Below are 22222 nucleotides of genomic sequence, written 5' to 3'. Positions count from 1 at the left end.
TATGTCATTTCCAGTGCTGGTTTCTGTAACTCTTGACTAATTTATTTTAGTATTTAACTTTTCACATGTTTATAATACCTTTTCCTCAAGTGCATTATAGTTATGACATTGAACTGTTCTTGTTTTGTTACATCTAATATAACACCTTAAAAAGAGTAAGTCATACGCGTATGTATTGATTTGATTTGAAAACACACATATCATTCCACTAATTAGAATGCTTTGTTCTTTTTTCCTAATTTATTTATCTGACTTAAGCCACATTATTAAGTTAAACAGAAATACGTAAGAGGAGGCTAATCAAAAGAGAACTATCTATTTTCAATATGAAATGTGCTGTTCTGCTTCATAACTAGATATAATTAAATTTACTTTGTAACTCTTACTACAAAAGAGTCCTTTTTTCTGCCAAAAAGTAATGGGTGGACTTTCCTTACTTACACTCGTTCGTTGCCAAGGATATCATACCTTGGAAAAAAGAACGAAAATGTTCACATATTCAATTTTTCAAATGGAAATAGTCTGTTATTTCCTAAGATTTTTCTGAAACTCCATAGGTAGTAAGATATCCTTACTTTTGAAAATCTAATGGGGATATACACATGAAATTTAAAAAAAAAAAAAATTCATAGAGAATATATTAGAAGAAATATGTGTTATATGCATCATGTGCTAAGAAAACATAAGAAAAGTTATAATTTGGTGTACTCAATTCATTTTTATTAATCAAATAATGTCAGGCCAAGGAGAGCCTAACCATATAAATATTGTATTTGGCATTAGTCAAATACATTGCTTAATGCATTAATTAACTAAAACATATTTCATTAGCTATTCCCATTAACTAGAATTAATGTTATCACCAATTTTTCTATTTTTTTTCTTTTTTTTTGAGACGGAGTCTCGCTCTGTCACCCAGGCTGGAGTGCAGTGGCGCGATCTCGGCTCACTGCAAGCTCCACCTCCCAAGTTCACGCCATTCTCCTGCCTCAGCCTCCCGAGTAGCTGGTAGCTGGGACTACAGGCACCCATCACCATGCCCAGCTAATTTTTTGCATTTTTAGTAGAGACGGGGTTTCACCATGTTAGCCAGGATGGTCACGATCTCCTAACCTCGTGATCTGCCCATCTTGGCCTCCCAACGTGCTGGGATTACAAGAGTGAGCTACCGCGCCTAGCCAGTTATCACCAATTTTTCTGTGTCATTTTGTGTGTGTGTGTGAAGATAATTTAGAACAAGAAGGAGCAAATTCTTTACCCCTTTGGGATAGCGAAACTGAAAAATGTCCACAGATCCATCTACCTACCATGTACCAAAAGAGGAAAAATGGAAAATGAGATAAAAGAAAAGACTAGAAGAACCTGGAAGAATAAATGAAGGAAAGTTGGGGCATGGTGTATATCATATGAAGGAGAAGAATGGTCTGTTATCTCTATGGTGTTCACGTCTTAATCCATTGCAAGCAACAAATACTTAGGTTTCATGCAGTTACCGAAGAAGGATGAGAAAGTAACAGATGACTCTACAAATTTTATGAAGTGTAGCCCTGTTTTTATAGTTTCCTTCACATTTTACAGATATACATCTTATTTGAGTGACAGAATTTCAACTTTTTCTTGTAGTAACATTGAAAAAGACTGTGAAAATGCTGCTAATGCCAAACCAAAGATCTTTTGGTCAACCTTTCCTGGAGAAGGTTTTGTTCTTTGACTTATTGTCAGTGAACTATGAGGCATCATATTATCTGTCTTGCCTGGCAACTAATGATAAAGATGACAACAAATCAATGTTTCATGTGAATTAACTTGTAAAGGCCAGATACAAATACCAAATTACTAATAAAAATACAATAAAGTTCAACACTGGCAGAAGCTTGCCAATCTCTAACTGCAGTAGCAAAGAAAAGCCCCACTTTTCAATTTAATTACCATAGAATTCTTCCTGGAATCATATGAGTATAATAAAATGCACTGTATTTATAGCTAGGGATTAATACATTTTGACATATTTTTGTCAAGCTGAGAGAAGAATAATGATAGGAGAAAACATTGCCATCATTGTTATATTCCTGAATTAACAAATACTTTTCTTCTTTGGGCAATTGTTTGATAACTTTTGATATTCTGATACTTTTTATTTGATTTTGATATTTATTTTGATATTGTGGGGAAAGGCTTAGAATGAAAACTGATGATAGCTAAGCTTTTAGAAATAATACTAAATATTGTAACAAAAAACTAGAGACAATATTTTCAGGGTGATGATTACCATTAGCTGGGTATATCTCCTAAATACTTACCTTTCCTCCAACCCATTGACCTTGCTTTGTTTTATTCCCTTATCATTTACATGATATTAGCCATTCTGCTAGCCATTCTGCTGCAATATTCCATGCTTTATCTACCTGCCTCAGCCTCACATCCTCCAATCCATCATCTGTACTCAAACATCAGAACTCCAATATGACATACAAGGCTTCACAATTGGCTTCAAAACGTCTTCTTAGATTATCTCCTACCCTATGCAGTTTTCTTTTTTTTTTTTTTGAGACAGAGTCTCGCTCTGTCGCCCAGGCTGGAGTGCAGTGGCCCAATCTCGGCTCACTGCGAATTCCGCCTCCCAGGTTCACGCCATTCTCCTGCCTCAGCCTCCCAAGTAGCTGGGACTACAGGCGGCCGCCACCTCGCCCAGCTAATTTTTTGTATTTTTAGTAGAGACGGGGTTTCACCGTGTTAGCCAGGATGGTCTCGATCTCTTGACCTCGTGATCCGCCCACCTTGGCCTCCCAAAGTGCTGAGATTACAGGTGTGAGCCACCGCGCCCAGCCACCCTATGCAGTTTTCAAACTCAACAAGCCTCATACATCAGGTACAAATTGATAAAGGGCACAGACAAGCAGTTAAGTGCAATATGAGGAGTACTACAATAGAGGAGCAAGCTTTAGGAATAACCAAAACAACAGTTTAGTTAAGGCAGATAACCTTAAAGAAAAGAGGGTGGGGTTTCCAAAGGAAGACTAATGGGACTATCTGCTATTTCCTGTTTTCTCGTCTTTCATTGTATTATATTTATTTTCTTTTTTTTTTTTTTTTTTTTTTTTTTGGTCTTTGGCCAGGGAAATTTGTCTCCATTTGCACAGAAAATCACAACAATAGTAAAATTTTGTTATAGTTGTTGACTAACAATCTATTCTAATGCTAGACCACTTTTGGACAGAGACGTTTTCTTGCTATCTTTGTCCTTATTTTTGGCTCAGTGCCTGGCATCCAACAGCCACCAAATGTTTTTCTATTATTTGTGAGTAAATGATTCTAGATTCACCTCAAAACTTAACTTCTACAAGCTTTCCCCTGGCTTCCCTGGTATATATGATTGCCCCTTTCTGTGGGGAGATTATTAGTTCTTCCACATTGCTCAGCTAGGGCTTATCATACAAAATTGTGTGTGTTTGTGTGTGTGCATGTGTGTGTGTCAGGAACAGGATAATGTTAGTGTCTGGTCTCTAATAAGTATGGAGAGCAAAAAAGTATCTGAAGTTTTTATATTTTGTATGCCAAGAAAAGCTTAAACCTGAATTATGAAGGTTCTAAATTATAGAAAAATTTTCTAGAAGATCAATTCTGAAGATTTCTTTTTTGACTTACTTAATATTATGAATAGTAGAATACTCTACTGTGTTCAATAATCTTTCTTTTTCAGTATCATATGGTTTACCGATTAGAAAATATAAAAGTATAAAGAATATCAAAAAATGGACAAAATCATGCCCAATCTATTAATTTTTATTTGTTTTTATATTAACTTTAAATATGTTTTTATTACAAATAATTAAAATAATAATTTTCAAGTGTTAGCCTTTTAAAAACTGAGCTCAAAAAAATAAGGAAATTGAATTTTGTTGTCAATATTACTGACTGGCTAAGATCTAACCACTATTTTTAGTAAGAATGATAACTTCTTTTTTTAGCAAATACTAGGTATTTAAGACAAACAAAAACTTGAAGGTAACTCAAACTACATACATACATATAAATATATATATATATATATATGTATATATAAAGTTTCCAAATATGTAGAAACAATTTTGTGTTTTATATCTTAATTATACTGAAAATAATTTGTGTTAAATAATAAAAATTTGCACCATCTACTATTTCATGAATATTTTCAATTCTACTGCAAGATAATAAAATAAAGTGAGAAGTTTAGCATTGATTTTGATTTAATTGGTTTTATTGCAGGGGGTTACAGGAATTATCATAGTCTATGTATATTTTAGTAGACTCAATGGGAAAAAAAACCCTCCAAATTATCCACAGTTTTCATGTGATATGAGTTCAAGACTTTATGCATATAAAGCTTTAACAGCACTACTTTCTCTTCCTGTTTTACAAGTCCCCATGTCTGTAGTCTCTGACTATAGCTTTTAAAATGCAGGTTTCTAAGCTCTGTATTAATCTCTTGTGGAATACACATCTTTGGTTTTTCTTTGCTCATGATTTATGTGACACTGACACATTTATAACATTAATATAAATTAAGATCATATACAGAATTTTATTTTTTATGTTAGAGAAGGAGGACACAGGATATACTTTTAGTTTCCCATTTCAAATGTGAACTTAAAAGAAGTAAAATAACAATATATGCATATATAATAAGTGCTACAGTCTCAGAGAGACAAATGAAGGCTTTTGGAGGGAAAGGAAGACATAGACAAAAAATATTCGCGTATGTGTGTATACATATATAATGCATATATAGAGCATATATGTATATATATTTTATTTTATAAAAAAAGGCAAATGATATCATTAAAGGAAGCCAATGTTATGACATAGAAAATTCTAGTTAGAAAAATTAATCTGAAGACTTCAAAGACAGGAGTTATGTACAAAGAAAAGAGGATGAAGAAGAAATTTATAAACATGTATATGTGATTTTTTAAGCCAAGATAATAAATAAACAACCATTATAGAAATAAATAGATTTATTTTAATATCTAACTATTTCTAAGTGAAAAAAAATCCTGTGAAAAGAAAAACTGCTTTTTTTCTGTATTTTTAGCTTACATAAAGGCCCAGTCAAAATAAATAGTGACCTGGGAATTATAAGGAAGACAAAGCATTCAGAATTATTAAACTAGAAAAGGAAACAGTATGATTTTTTGACCAATTTTTGTTTTTCTTGGAATTAGAGGATAAAAAATATCAGTGTCTTTGTATTTAAAATCAATTAAAGCTTAAAGTAACAGAGGAAAACTAACTCTTGTGAGACATTTGGGAAAGAATAAGGAAACTGGTCCCATTTAAAGACCCTCGAAGAAAATTTTGTATCTTAAAAAGGTTTCATTACAGAGTATGCATTGGCTCTATTATTGTTCTGGCCCCTAAATTCCCATCAGAGCTGATGATTAAAGTTCTACCCACTGGCCAGGTCCCTACAATTATCCCATTGTGATGGTGCTCTACAGTGGCGCCCTGCTATGGCCAGACATCAAGTCATTAGAGAACTGCAAGGGATGATGAAGAAGGTTATTTTAATTCCCTTTTCAGCCCTTCTCAGGAGTGGCTCTTTAGTTCACAGAGCTGTGGGTACTTGCTTTCAAACTAACAAGCAATATTATAAATGGAGGCTGCATTATCATGATTGCAGACAATCTAAGGCACTTGAAGGCCAAGGATTCTCAGTCCTCAATATGTGCTGTTTTGTATTTATCAGCTAAAAATATATAGACAGTGCAAACAATGAAAGAGGGGGAAATGCAATGAACATGGTGGTGGGGGGCAAAGGAAACAGTGAGAGAACATAAGATGATGGCAAAAATGAACAACAGAGAGGAGAGGAGAGCCCTGGCCATTTTGCTAGTATATAAAATATCTTTACCCATTTTCTTGTTGTTCCACTGCATAGTGTTCCAGCTCCGTGCCAGGAAGGGGCTGGACTGGGGGGGGAGGTAGAGGGACATTGGCCCAAGTGGATCCATTGTTTTTCTGTGGTTTAGAAGAGTTTTTATTTTTCTTCTTTTTTCCACCTTTCCCACCTGAAAGTAATAACGTATTTATTCAGAGATGCCAAATAGCAGAATAAAGAGAATACATCAGATGGCAAGGTGTATTTATGTTTCAAAACACCAGAATCAGTATGTTGGAGTTGTTAAAAGCTATAAACAATGAAATGATATAATCAGAAAAACATTTTTATAAATCACTCAAAATGATACTGTTTTTTTTTCCCCAGTGCATTAACAGCAGAGCTGAATGAACCAAAAACATGGCTGCTGTATCAAAAGCATGCTTATTGATTTATTCCCGTCTGGTGCCTTCATGTTTTCATTGTTAGAGGAAATAATGGGCCATAACAAATTCTTTTAAATGTCAAATTTTAGTACACTTATAATGCTCTTTTGCATAATCTCTCTCAGTGGAAAATGCAAGGTCTAAGGATATAGGCTAAACTTTTCCATTAGAATTTATTCAATTTAATTAATCCAGGAAGGGTAACAATTTTTATCCCAAAAGTAACTGATAAAAATCAATCAGCTACAATCAGGAAAATACCTGTAAATATTTTGCGAAGATACGTTTTATAGACTTTTTAACTAATGAATGGCACAATTATTTTTGCATATGTGAATAGTTCTTAGCTATTTTAAGCATAACATCATATAATATTCCAAAAAGGAGGAAAAATTAATACAGTAATCAGTTTCAGTGGCATTCTAATACAAATGAATTCATGCACAAAATATGAGAAGAAAGTAAGCTAGCAGCATATGAGCCATATCTAGGATTACATGGAGCTTAATGAAATATAAAAAATACAATTTATCATTTGGACAGTGCCATGGTTTTTACTCTTCCAAAATTAAGTAGATAAAGCTTCTTCCTTAAAAGTGGACTACAGTTAAATGAGGAATGAGTACTTCTTGGAGCAGAATAACAAAGGACATTTCAGGGGACACTATATAACTTCTGTGGCTCCCACCACAGCCTACAGCAATATCTGCCAAAAATCTTACTGATTCTTTCGACTTCATCTTTCTGGAACCGCAAGTTGTGAGCAAAAACTATTTGTAGCAGGGCTATTTAGCAATGTATTATAATATCACTAGAAGCCTACTATTCCCCTTACTTCTACCAATTACTCATCTGCATCAGCCACGTTGAATATTATGTAATTTAATAGGAACATATTTGAGCACCAGGAAGTGATAAAACTGTTAAACTGGATATATACTTTATTGCCAGTTATAAAATAGTGTGTGTTTTCCACATAGCATGCACACCTTCACACATATTTCAAAGAACATCCCTGCACACAAATTGCTTTCATCTTGCCTTGTAGTATACTTGTTTGGTAGAATAAAAGATTTTAAGAGGAAGGAGAGCAGACATCTTTTGCTTAGAGGACAAGAGTTTCGTATCTGGGTTTACAGACCAGTTTCCCACTTACTGGATAAGTTACTCAATAGTTACTGCCTACATTTTTGCACATGTAAAACAGATATAAAGTTACTACTTTTTTCAGTTATTTTGAGAATTACAAGAGACAATGCATATCAACTACTCAGAATGGACAGAACATTCAATAAATGCCACTCATTTGTGTTCTTTTTTTTCCCCCATATCCTCTATCTTAGAGCAAACCCAGCTCCTCTTGATTTCTAAAGCTTTCTTTACTCCCAACTTCTCCAGGCCCTATGAGTATCCCACAAACAGCCTGACTCAGAATAACAATAAACTTGCTTGAATATACATCTGTAATGTTTGTCTTTAAGGTAGATGAACCTTAATCCTTTGTTTCCTGATGAGTCAGCAAAATTATCAGACAGGAACCATTTCTTCTGTTGTAGTATCAGAACTCGGTTTCAATGATTAAAAGGGGAACAGACTGAGCTACTTGTCTTCCATAGCTTTCTCTCTAGTTTCACCTCCTTTATTCCTTATTTATTTATATATAGAGAGAGTGCTTTTCGTTTTCCATGGTACTTTTAGAAATGTTAGGTGGTCACCACCAGAACTGAGTAACAGAAATAGACAAGTTCTTGCATCTCCATTTTATAGATGAAGCAACTGAGGTTCATTCTGAGTGTTACGTGGTCCACATTCACCCAGTAAGAGAAAAATCAGAATTCAGAATGTAGCAGCTTTCTTTACTGGAAATTACTACTTCCAGAGCCCTGAATTCTGTTGAAGTCATTGTCCAAAGTTCAAGAAAGCCATTCATTACCTACTCTTCCAAACAGATTTAAAAATCTATTTGGGAAACGGGTGATTCATAGAAGAAATATGTGAGGGCTTTCTATCCAACAATCACTTTCTCTTCTTTTGAGGAAATTTCTGCTCTCTCATTATGGGCAGTACGTGTAGGATTACAAATCAACACACCTGACTTCTTTTAGCAGTGAGCAATGGTAGGTTCATAGCATGGTGGAGAGCATACATAGAACCAAAGCCACTTACATTCTCTGAGATCTGAACCTTGAGTGAAGTAAGCCACAGTCTGTTGCTGTTACTTGCAAACAAAGAACCTTCAATCACTTTAAGGTGAGAATTTCTTATATTATCTTTTAAGGGAGCATATTTTAATGACTTACATATATAAACTCTTTAATTTGTGTGTATATTAATATATATGTATATATATACTATATATATACTTTTTTTTTTTCCTTGAGACAGGGTCTCAGTCTGTCACCCAGGCTGGAGTGCAGTGGTGCGATCACATCCACTGCAGGCTCAACTTCTCAGGCTCAAGCATCCTTCTACCCCAGACTCTCAAGTAGCTGGGAATACAGTCGAGTGCCACCATGCTTGGCTAATTTTTGTATTTTTTTCAGAGATGGGGTTTCACCATGTTGCTCAGGCTGGTGATTTTATATTTTTAATGGTTAGATTTTTAATGGAAGTGCTCAGAACTTATATATTGAATAAATATTAAGTGTTTCAAAGAGGGTAATACACTCAAATAATTCTGAAATGTCCACTTTTATCACTGTGATTATTTTAAATTGCTTACATTGCTATCCACAAATTAAGAAAATCTTATAATACCATATGATTAGTTATCCACAAGGTGGTTTGATCTTAAATTTAAGTCTTAGGAAAGATACCTATGATTATAAGCATAAGACAAAACTCTAATATTAAACTCAATTGAACTAAACTAAAAAGAGAATAATCACTCTCACCTACTAAAGAATGCTTTCTATCATCAATTTAAGTAATTTTGTATTCAAATGTAGATGAAGTAGTTAATATAATTCATAGATATATATAAATGTCACTCAGGAGATTAATGGATTCAAAAAAGCACTAAGTACTATTGTGAATTGTGTTCTGCTTACAGTTACTCAAAAGACAACTTTTAAAACTTGGTGGTGGCAATCAACACATATAGAATACTTAAAGAAAGATTTTTAAAAGTCTTAAGTAATCCATGGATTATAGTATATAGATTTATTTTTACATACTGCATGTGACTTTGCATATCTTTAATGAAATAAAAAGGAAGCCCAGGATAAATTACTTTTTAATTATTCAGAACAATTGTGAGACTTATTATAAATAAATGGCAGTCTAAATGACATATAAGGTTATTCAAAAAGTTCTCCTATATTATTAAACCTGTTTAAATTCATAACAGATGTTTAAAATTTTCTGGATTCTATAATATAGCTAATTCTACCAATAGGCAAGAAGAGCAAATGACCCATTTTGAAGGGAAGAGGGAGCATTAACATTTTCAGACTGAAAGGGTTCCATCTCCTGAGGAAAAGTAATTTAGAAAATGTTACCCTAATGATGTAAAAAGTTTAACTCTTTATGGCTTTGATGCTTGGTAGCCTGTGACATGCCATAATACACTATAGTCTTTTACAAATAACCTGTAATTAAAAAAATAAAACAAAATCTCAGTACAAACAAATAGCATATAGTTAATCCAAACAAATTAAACAAGTGGGGTCATGGAATAAATTAGAAATGCACAAAGTCATCAGCCATACAATGTATATGTCATGGTTGAAAGTTAGAGTGTGTCTACTACAACCTCCTCATTTTACAGGTAAGGATCTTTGGGCCAGGAAAATTTCATTCATAAGTCATTACAATAGGTATATATTTTTGTCCAGTAAAGGGTGTTTCTTTCCATTTGTGCTATATGATACTGACATTATAGATTGTCAGTTTAGCTGATATATCTCAAATACATATTAAAATTTATACCATAAAAGAATTAGCAATATCAAAGATTATATGGTTTTTTGGAAATTAAATATTAATTTCCCATATTAACTTTCTTGTATAGTGCAGTAGAATATCATTCAATAGATAAAAAATCCTATTATATGGTATTTCGAAATCTTGTCCAAAAATAGGAGGTCACATCAATGATATACTAATATTATGAACTACTCCAAAATCATTTTCATTTTAGTTGAATTCATCTTTTGGTATCTATAACATGGAATTGACTTTCATGTATGATCTTTTTATTATAAAATTCTCTTTACTCGTTCTTTAATGAATAGTATTTAGTAGAATGGCATAATTTTTCTTTAAATATTTCCTCATAGAGTTAGTATATAAAAGGGGACAGTGATTTTTCTCTTCCCTTTTATCCCACCAAGGCATGATTTCATTAGCATAAACTGTTGTCATTTGACAGATAAATGCCTGACAGTGAGCTGTGATTCAGTATATCTTCATGGTTGTTAGGAACACAGGTCATACGCTGGTGACAAACAAATATTTCTCCTTACTGTGATGAGACCAACCTGAGAGACTGCCACTCCTTTCTGAGCTGTTGTGAGAGCTGGTGGTGCTGAAATCCTGAGACTGGTTGTGTGGCATTCTATTAGACAATCCCTCAGCCAATCGGTAGTCAGGAATGTAAAGTAAGGCTAAGGGTTAAAGGGCAGAGGTCATAGTGGCATCATGTGATTAGTTCACAGCACAAGCCCATGCAGAACATGCAGTTAGCAACTCAGAAGCAGATGTTGTGGGAGAGTGGAGGAATGTTTTGTCTACCCTGCCCTAATGGAAGTAGAGATGGATTGTTGATCATTAGGTTGAAAAAGAGCTAAAAGATGAAACCGATTGGCACTGGTGTGTGGTGGTGGTGGAGGAGGTGGTGGTGGCGGCGGCGGTGGTGGTGGTGGTGGTGGTGGTGGTGGCGGTGGTGGTGGTAGGAATTACTCAAGTTACTGGAAACATGCTGGTATCTTTTTTTAGTTTAGGTAGTAAACCTGGTAATGAATCACTAAGTCAAACAACAAATACTAATTTCTATCTCATGCACAAATGATATGAAAATACCTCCTCAGGACACAAGAACCTGACTCACCATTGTTACCTTTGTTCTGATCAGGTAGAGAATAACCAAATCCCATCAGATCTGTTTTTTGCTGAATTGAGCTTTTCCATTGTGGATCAGGCAGATCGACAGCCAATTCATGTATGCTGTTGGAATGCAAGATCTGTGTCGTGGCATATGGGGTAGCCTGTGTTATTTGGCTGGAACTGTTGTAACTGGTTTTGGTAGTGAAGTCAATGCTACTATAAATGGCTCCATCTGAGAGCATCGTTGCTGTTTTATCCCCTTGGCCTGGAACTGGTGGCAGCACATCTGTGGTGAACATAGGGAAATGAAACAATTTAATGAGGCACCGGAAGCCCAAAACTATCAGGACTGAAGATGAAAAATAAGTGTGTCACACTGCACGTTTGCATTTCAGCTGAGATGGGCTTCATGAGCCACTGAAGGGTAGATGATATACAACCATCGCCAAGCTATCAGCCTCAGTGACAGGCAGGCCTACTGCTCGCCCTTCACGTCTCACTGCTTAAAACACCCTTCCCCCTATTTTCTTTAACCATGAATGAGACGGTTGGCATACTTCACTACAGAAAAATGCTTTCAGTTGTTCACTCTGTTTTAGAGCCAATGAAAGTGTTAGCACTTTACAGTTGCAATGATACTGAATCCACAACTCACAGATGAAAAACATCTCTTTCCACTTTATCCCAAGAGACATGGACTACAACTGCTAAATACATGCTAACATTTCAAAAATTATACTATACCGACTATGAAGTATATTTTTTGAAGCTATAACTTGCCACTTATTGTGTGATTTAATTGCTCCAGAAAAGGAGAGTGCATTTTTTTTCTTGTATAACAAAGGAAAATTTTCAGGTGTAAGCCATTTTCACAATATAGCAGAATTTAACTATAGAAAAAGCAATCTCAGTGATCGGTGAGTTTAATTTATGCTATCAACTCCGAACTAGAGAATTACAGTTTCATGTTGTAATACAGCTAGAGTAAAATTAAACTCCAGGAGCAACACTGAATATCAATCAGTCCATTTTTCATTTTGGTATGCTGAATTATTTTTACATGATGCTTTATAATTCAGAACTGCTGCCTCTCTCCTGAGCTCTTATTTTCCCTTTTTGGAAGAAAGATACTAAGTGAATCTAAAATAGAAATCACTAAATAACACTGTTTTTAATCCTGTAGCGTTAAAATGAATCTAATTATTATATAGTACATTTTAAAATAAGCTATCTTCTGAAAGCTTCATTTCATGGGACTTGAGGCCATCAAATCACTGCATTCTTTCATTATAGGACATTTTCAACTATCTTAAAACTTTTAGATTAGCTGATACTCAATAGTACCTGAAATAAAAATTCTTATAGAAATATTACTTTTGCTTTTGAATTTTACATAAGCTAAAAATTGTCTTCTTTAGCAAGTGTAGAAAGAAATGTATACTATATTTTGTACACTGCATAACTTAAGTCTTTATGAAGGTTTTGAAGTTTGGAGCTTGTTTTACAGCTGAGCGGATATGTACTTAAGATATTGAAGTAAATATCTTAAATGTGTATCAGTGAAGTTGTTAAACATATTTTAACTTATCATATTTCACCAGGTTGTATAAGCAAATAACATTATTTTTAAATTTCAGAACTTCACAACTACTTTCTTGCCCTTCTTTCTTTGAGCTATGTCCTAATTACAAAATTTGATGTTAAGCATACTGCATTCTCAAGTGTTAGTATTATTTTTATTTCTCAAAAACTTTTAATATGTAGTATATCCAAATTGGTCACAATAGATCCTTCATTCTGGGTGATTTTTCAGACTTTTGTTTCTGCCGCTTCTACCATGTCCTTCACTGATGAATATTAAGTGAATATACTTGATTCCCCAACTTGAGCTCCAATTTCACACACCTTGAATTTAAAGTTCTCCAAAGCTTTAGATGTGGATTGCAAGCCACTTCGATGGCAAGCTTTTCAAATGGCTGTGTGCTCAAATGTTAAACAATGAAGAAAAGTGGTCCAAGAATCTAATCCTACATAATATTGCTATACAACTAATGCTATGGCTCTGGAAATTGAATCTCTCCTCTCCCTGCTAGATAAAATTATAGTCAGCCTTTAAGTCTAAGTGCTTCTGTATTGATTTTTAGGCTGCATATTGTCTTCAAATATGATTTGATCATCCCTACATTTTCAAAAAATAAACTGAATTGTATTCTAGCATCGAAATATTGGAATATTGCACATGAATATTTGGATGTTAAGGAGAGTCCTATAATACCAGATGATTTGGAACTCTGGGCTAGCCTTCCTCCCAACAGGCTAGACCTAAATAGGTGATGTCATATTTAGCAGGTCTTTTTTCCATTTCCATTTATAGCAGTCCCCACCTACCAGTCCTTAATGTTTTAGGCTGTCTGACTGGTGCTTGTTAACACTTATGTTTGAAACCTATGAGTTATGGAAATGCTTCCTCTACTTGGAATTGGTAATTCATTCTGTAGTTTTTCAGCACCTTGGTTATACTTGTACTCACATTTATTTCCTTTTGTTTTATATAATTATCTGTACAAATGACTGTCTCCTTCACTGTATCACGAAGTCATTTGAAGACAGGAGCATATGGGATTTATGTCTGCATTTTCATAGTTGCTCACCCAGTGTTTTGAAGAGAGTAAGCACTTGCTGACTTGAATGGTTAAATAATTTTTTTTATGGTTTCCTTTGATAAAATATGGATTTATGCTATAATTAGTAACTTTATTATTCTAAGTACTATTTTTATTACATTCAAACGTATTGTCATTTCATTCTTTTTTTTGCCAAATTTTATTTATTTTTTATTTATTTTTTTATTATACTCTAAGTTTTAGGGTACATGGGCACAACGTGCAGGTTAGTTACATATGTATACATGTGCCATGTTGGTGTGCTGCACCCATTAACTCGTCATTTAACATTAGGTATATCTCCTAATGCTATCCCTCCCCCCTCCCCCCACCCCACAACAGGCCCCGGTGTGTGATGTTCCCCTTCCTGTGTCCATGTGTTCTCATTGTTCAATTCCCACCTATGAGTGAGAACATGTGGTGTGGGAAAATGTCAGTATCCATTCTTATTCTTCCAAGTGAATATGGTTATATAGTCATACATGTGAATCTGCCTTTACAATACAAAGCAGAGTTTTCTACAACCAGATCTCAAATTATTTATCTTGAGAAAACTTAGTTTCTTGATCCTTAAAATGGAAATATGACTATTTCATATATTACTATGCAAGCAAAATGAATTAAAATATACAAAAAATTTTAACAGTATTTCTGGCACATAGTAAATGCTTAAAATGACTATCACATGGATAAGGGATACAGTCAACTCTACAAAAACGTTGTCTTGGCCTTGCTGTTCATCTATGAGATATTTCACATCATGAAAATTAAGGGAAAATGGAAGAAAAACCTTGCAAATCTCCAGGTGTACCCTTTTGTTAAATTTGACTGAGATATTTTAGACGTTAAGGTAGCCTGTGGAAACTGAATATTCATTTTCTCCATCTGTAAGCATTCACTTTTTCATGTAACAATAGCATGTCATATTATTTCAATAAAAATACAAGAGGTAAAAGAGTCAGCTATTCCTTCATTGACAAAAGCTGTGGGAACAGAATTCCTTTTGACAAAATCAGTCGACATAGCAGGGGGAGGGACATTCTTGTTTCCTGATGAGCAGGTGCTCAGGCACAGAAACTACCCATGGCAAAGTGATAGCTGACAGTTGCTCACAGTCGGGTCACTTAGGGGAGGAAGCCACTACCAGAGTATCTGGGCAAGTGAGAGTCCTAAGTGGGGTGTGTTGGCTTGCAGAAGCGGAAGAGGAAGCTGAGGAGTCATATAACTTACTTTCCATTCTCTCACTCACTGCACTGATGCCTGATGATTGATGGTATGCCAAGCTTTGGGATATATATATATATACACATATATATATATGTGTGTGCGTATATATATATATATACACACTATATAAATAAATATATATATTCTATATAAATAAATATATATATATATTCATCTATTTAATCCTCATTACACACCTATGAAGTAGGAATGGTTATTTTCTGTATTTTATTTGCAGAAGGGAAGGGAGTTCCCCTTCTCATAGTTGGTACTGACAGAATGCAGACTTATGCAATAATCAGTAGCTTCATTATTTGAAATACAACTTCAAATATAGTCAAACATAGTGGTAATCCATTCTTAAAGAGAACATGCTATGAATATCCTTCTCAGTTCTCAGTCAATCTGGTTATATACTCATACATATGAAATTAACCCATCAAGGCTTATAGTGGACTCAGAAAAATTTAACAGAGCCCTGGGCCTCCTTCATTAATTCTAAAAGTGCAGAAATCTTACAGAGAATTCATACAGCTTTGCTTGGATTACAGCACTATTCTAATTAATCACTCCAATTTTCTACCGTTACTCCATTCTTCATCCAGCAGCAGGCTGGATGACTTAAAACAGTACTTGGAGTACTTGGATCCCAGCATTCTCCTCTTAAAAATCCATCAACAGCTTCTGATTACCCTCTGAACGAAGTCTAAATTCTCTATGTGGCTTAAAAGGTCCTTTGTTATCTATCCTTCTATATTTCTTACCATTTCTGCTTCCTCGTATTTTATACTCAAGTCATTAGGAAATTCCTCCATTTCTCAAGTAGGTCAATGTCTCTTTTATTTGTGGAACTTAAAATACAGCAACTTCTTTTCTAAACACTTTTTTTTTTCCATACTTTTGACTCATTTTTAAATTTGCTTCAGGTATCAACTTAAATAATATTCTGTTCATAGAGCTTTCTTACTCCCAATTGGTAGACATGCCACATGGGGTTCTGGCAAGGCAGTTTAAGCACATTTAATGTCTGTACAATCTTCCACCAACGGAAAACTCACATGAACCTGCCAAGCCACACTGAGATCAGAGAGTTCCCTACTCCTCTCATCATTCTCTAAACCCAGCTCTCTCCTATTGACTGGATGAAAAGGTGAAGTCAGGGGAGGTGGTAGTTATTTACAGTAGGTTACTTGTGTCTCCTTACAAACCCACAGGGAGAGGACTCTGGCACCAAATTTTGAAGGCTTGCATGTGGCTACTTAGCACTTTTTTGTCTTTTTTATTTATTTATTTATTTATTTATTTATTTTTGGATAACAGTTACTAGTTGTGGAACTACAGAAAAGTTCTCTCTCAACATGTTATATTGACTTAATTGTCTATTTCTTACATGACATATTATATGAGGGCAAGAACCATCTTTTTTATATCATTATTATATTCTTATGGTCTTCCATAGTGCCAAGTACACAGGAGATGCTCAATAAATACATGTTAAATGAGATGGAGAAGGGAAACCTCTAGTCCAAAACCATAAGCCCTAGTTAACAAAATAGTCTCTGAGTTCAGTAATCTTGTACTAGTAATCCTGAAAGCATATATATTATAAATATTTATCATCTTGGTTAGTAATAGCTTCCTTAAAAGTTTGGTTTTACTCAAGGTAATGAAGATACAATCGTTTTATATTAAAATATTTAGCAAATGTACAACACTGTTAGTGCATATGTTTCATTGATTTTAATTATGGGAGTAAATACTCTCTGATATGTTTCTTTAAAAAAATCCAGGAAGGTCAAAAAAAAAAAAAGAGAGAGAGAACTCAAATAACACTATTTTAAAAAACACAACTTACCTCCACGGCCAAAATTTCCAATCTCATTTGGGCCACTGTTGCTATTATTTACTGGCAAGCTCGTGGCTGGCCAAGAATCAGCAAGCCATGGATAGCTGGGATCACCAGCATTGAGAAGACCTGGACGGCTAAAACAGAAATTACAAGGAAATCAACACATGGAGCTCAATGCAAGATTTTGACACTCGTCTCATGCAATATAAAGCGTTAAGAAATGGAAGATTTTCATTGACTTCAAATTAATATAAGTAGACTCCCTGGAATTAAAGAACTCCAGCAATTCATTAAGGCTATACATACATTAACAGTGGACGCAGGGAGTCCTTGCCCGGGATTTTGTCAATGTCCAGATGAATTCAGGTGTCTGCCCTGAAACTGGTAGAAATCAGTAACATACTAGGATCCCAAAACAAGGTTTGATGATACATTGGCACCACAAGGGAACAACTGCTCAAAGTGACTGCTCTATGTCAGCCATTTCTAAGACTTTGGGCTATTCCTTCCTCAATTCCTGCAGCTACCTTACGTATCTGTTCCCTCTAGGCTGTAACCCTTGTTATGAGCCCTCATGCTTGATTTGGAGGCAAGGAACTGAAGTGAAATTAATGAACAGTATTTATACTGCTCCATAAATAGCACATTTCCAAGTTCTAAATTGCAAAATATCAGGGGTATATTAAGGGTTTTTTTTAAAGGTAATAAAAGATACACTGTGATCTGATCCAGCATGTGAGTATAGTCTATAAGTAAAATTTCCTTCACGTCATATTTAGTAAAGAACTTCCTTCTTTAATATAAAAGATGAGATTCTGATTCCTTTCCAGATTACTAGCATATTTACACAGAAATAGAACATCTATAATCATTGCACTTTTCTTTTGATAGACCCCTTCTGGTACAATCCCTAAGAGAAACATGTGTTTCTATGGAAACTGCAATAAGAAGACCCAACCGCTTTCTTGCTACATCCACAAACTCTCATTAGACTTAATCTCTTTTTGCTAAAATATTGATTAAATGGGAGATTGGAAGTTATTACCAGAGCCTAATTACAATCTCCATATTGGCAAAGGGAAAATAGATGAGGATATATGAGTTTGTTATCAGCTTTTATCAATTTCAATTGAATATCCAAAGTTGTGGAATCCAGTCCTATCAATCTATAGCCTATTCATCATCCATGAATCATTTACTTTGTGATCGATTATGTGTAATTGTTCACTCACAGCAATTTAGTGAGAGCCTATAAGGAGTCTTAAACAACAGCAACTTCATTTGCTAATGTCTAATTAATGCAATAAACATCCTGCTAACAAATGAACACATTCCATGTGATATTTACTACTAATTTCTTCAGGGGCATCTGGGAGTTATGAAACATCTGGACTTGATTCCTCTAAAGTGCACAACAGATAGATCATTAAACTTTGTGGTAAGCCATTTAATTCCTCCTAGAATTCTCAGACTTTTAAGTGATCATTTATTACAATAATAGGCTCTTACTATAGAGTTTCCCCAGTCCTGATTAAAAATAAAAATAATAATGAAACAATCTCCGTAGCATACCTTCCATTGCTCATTAGTCCTCCATCTCCTCTTTGAAACGTAACTATGAAAAAAGAAAAAAAGGAAGACATGCACACACAAGTAGTCAATATTAATTACAATTAATAACAACTACATATTGGCCCTTAGTTTAGAGCTGAGGCCTCTGGGAATTTTAACAAAATATAATTAACATCATTGTACAGAGAGTAACAAGCAGTGGTTTGGCCCAAGGCAAAGCCATCATTTGCTCCAATTTTAATAGGACATTTTCAAATTCTTTAAGCCAAATCCATGGTTAAGTTAAAGAACTAATTTGTATTTAAATGTCAAACCTGTTACAATTAGTATATATAGTGGTATTGCAAGATCAACGTAGCATTATTGTGAATTTATCAAATCAAGATTTTTAATTTTAAAACAAAGGTGTCCTAATTAGAAGGCATAAGACAAAACACTCATAATATAAATTGAAACAGGAAAGTTCCAACATGTTACGTCGTTCTAATGAAACAAGAAAAACAAATACTTATTGACTACAGATTTTTCACCATCACAAATCCTTTTATGACCCTCATAAACAGTGATAATTACAACAGGTGTGAACTATAATTAATAGAGAATAACATGCTCATGAAAATGAAATTTTCAAATAATTGATACTGAATATATTCCTAATTGTATGTAGTGATCAGAAAAGTTGAATCCTCCATGTAACTATGGAACTTATTAGCAACACCAATAAGCATCCACCAGAGCCACAGCCAGTGAAGCCACTCTCTCCAGCCGATAGTTTCAAGCCTACAAACCTAACAACATGAAAGTGGATTTTAAGGACTGGCCAAAGAATGTTATTATCAGTTCAGGTCCATCATCCATTACCCAAACCTTTGCAGCCAAATGGATCTGGACTCCAGAATGATTCAGAATTGAGAAAAGTAATATACTTTGCATATTACAAAGAGGTTCTGAGACAGTAAACTGTATTCAAAGTTATTTAGTTTTTCTGCAGTGGAATGTGAATATCCATGATTAGTAGGATAAAGTCTACAAGTAGCTTCACATTAGTTTGGATCAAATTTTGCCATTAAATTAGTTAACTAGAAAATTATTTTTAAAAAGAAACATGGTGTTTAGAAGTGTACAGCTTGCAAAAGTGCAATAAACCTGCAATTCTGACCACAATTAATGTGGATTGGCTAAACCAATCACCGGGATGAAGGAAAAAAAATACTATTTTCACAGCTGTGAACCCAATAAACCCTATCTTTGGAAGGGGTTGATTATATTTACTATGATTTTTTTTCCTGTGGTGAGTACAGGTGAAAATAAATGAAATTTAATTAGTTGATTCATACTGTAAGTAAATAGAGGATATATTGCCACTTAATATATATACACATAGTGAATACTTCTTACTTTGAATAACTCTCCATAACTCCTCTGTTCTCAAGTTTGGGCTATCAAATATGATGATCGCTCTTTAAATTTTACACATTTCCAAATGAAGTCCCTCCTTTAAGGTTATCTACTAATATTATCTCTCATGCTATCATAATCAGGTAATATGACTCTAAACTCCAAGGGTCTTCATGAGACAGTAAAGCATATCAGGGCTTTTAGGAACTTCTTATTGGTACCTGAAATATACTGCCTTATCAATTTTATGTGTAATATCTCAAATGCATTGCAAAACAATCCTGACATAACCTTTGCATCTGCTCAACACTGGCTATAGGCACATGCTCAGAGAAGATGAAAAGGCTCACTGAAATGCGGGAAATCAGGAATCAGCAGTGCATCTGTCCCACATTGTGCCCGTTTAATAACTGCTTTTAACAAAAAAGAATTAATCTGAAATAATTAATGCAAAAAATTGAGCACTGGAGATATTAAATAAATGCCTGATTAGTACACATGCAATGTGAAAACAGTATAGCTAATTAGCTTTCCATCTGATGTGACTTTCTAGTTTGTGTTTTTTTTTTTTTTAATGGACTATCAAGTGATTGTTTTAGTCTGTTAAAAGAGAGTTAAGATAATGGTGTGAATATCATTGTGAATATGCAAATAAGCAGATGCTCATGGGTTACACCTCAAAATGTGCTGTTCAAGAGATATGTGAGAAGCTAAGTAGTTTTCCCTAATTTAGATGCTCTTTTGTCCCATTCAAACTTTCTGTTACTGCCAGAGCAATAAATAATATTAGAGAAAAGGAGGACAACAGACACAGAGGTACAAACATTGAGTGGCCCTTAACTTTAATACATGAACCAGTGGCAAATTCTTCATGACATGTAAAGTTTAAAGTATTATAATAGAACACTGAAAACCCTATAAAAAATATATCATGAGGCCGGGCATGGTGGCTCACGCCTGTAATCCCAGCACTTTGGGAGGCCAAGGAGGGGGTGGATCACGAGGTCAGGAGTTCAAGACCAGCCTGGCCAAGACGGTGAAACCCCGTCTCTACTAAAAATACAAAAATTAGCCGGGCGCAGTGGCAAGTGCCTGTAATCCCAGCTATTCGGGAGGCTGAGGTAGGAGAATTGCTTGAACTTGGAGGGTGGAGGTTGCAGTGAGCCAAGATCGTGCCACTGCACTCCAGTCTGGGCTACAGAGTGAGACTCTCTCTCAAAAGAAAAAATTATATATTTATATATATATACACACATAATGCATTAAAGTTAATTTGCAAACTTGTTAGAGTATGAACACTATAGTATGTATGGCCCATATCTGGCAATTGAAAATTAAATGCTGTGAGCAAAATAATTTAAATTTAAAAATATTTCTTATTAAGCATTTGGGACAATCTATTTTCTGTTTCTGTTCCCGTCATCATTAAAATATGTTTTTCAAATGATTCTAGACTGCTAATAGGGTGTCAAAATATTCTATAAAGACACTTATCTCTGTATCTCTGCATATTAAGTATACAAAGGCAAAACTTCACACATTATGTAAATATTTGATGACCTTAAAAAGGTTCACATACAATTTAGTACACAATCTAAATTTCCATTTTGTATTGTTTCTGTCAGAATTTTTTTAAAAACCCTTATCTTAATGGGTTATTTAGTTGTGTTTTTAAAGCAAGGGAAAAACAGGGAACACTTTTTCAAGTTTCATTTTTTACTTTATGCTTCAAAACTTTTAGATTTGTTCTATTTTGAAAAGTAGATCAAAAGTAACTAACTTCTATTAGATCATGAGATTTAGGGCAGACTACAAATAACTATGAACAATTAGAACTCCTAAAATGGAAATCATATCTGGTGTTTTGATCAGCATTTTGTGTGTCTGTGTGCAGAGAGATGAACATACAAATCAAATTCCAGAGCAAATTGAAAGCTATTTTGAGGTAGTTCTCATTTCAAATAAGTGTTTGCCTTGAAGCTGTAAGAAGGGTTGGGGTGGTCAGACAATCTTGCTCTTGTCACAATTTTGATAATCACAGAGTAGTAACTTTGTGCTTATTAGAGATACATATGGAATAACTGTGACTCTCAATCAAAAGTCTCTGTTAGCATCTAAAATTAAGAACTTTCAAGGAGTTACATACAGAATATTTTAGCTTACA

The 22222-nt window shown here is 34.4% G+C and overlaps 1 protein-coding gene across 41 annotated transcripts in view; it reads right to left on the bottom strand.

Annotated features, from left to right (window-relative positions):
* The window catches only part of ROBO2 (roundabout guidance receptor 2), a 1743290-nt gene that overhangs the window by 36120 nt on the left and 1684948 nt on the right, over positions 1-22222 (bottom strand). For 21 of the 41 annotated variants that reach the window (NM_001378190.1, NM_001378200.1, NM_001378201.1 and 18 more), the window contains 4 exons: positions 18661-18703; positions 17095-17222; positions 11354-11635; positions 5891-6047 (listed from right to left, as the gene is read on the bottom strand). In NM_001378190.1, the coding sequence (NP_001365119.1) occupies positions 5891-6047; positions 11354-11635; positions 17095-17222; positions 18661-18703 (610 nt within the window). Of the gene's footprint in view, positions 1-5890; positions 6048-10784; positions 10911-11353; positions 11636-17094; positions 17223-18660; positions 18704-22222 lie in introns of all 41 variants that reach the window. The other 20 variants (NM_001378191.1, NM_001378195.1, NM_001378196.1 and 17 more) reach the window with 3 other exon arrangements.

The sequence above is a fragment of the Homo sapiens genome, chromosome 3, assembly GCF_000001405.40.
Source record: "Homo sapiens chromosome 3, GRCh38.p14 Primary Assembly".
In the NCBI taxonomy this organism is placed as follows: domain Eukaryota; kingdom Metazoa; phylum Chordata; class Mammalia; order Primates; family Hominidae; genus Homo; species Homo sapiens.
The sequence above is the reverse complement of the archived record's forward strand: the minus strand, read 5'-3'. Positions and strand labels throughout refer to the sequence as shown.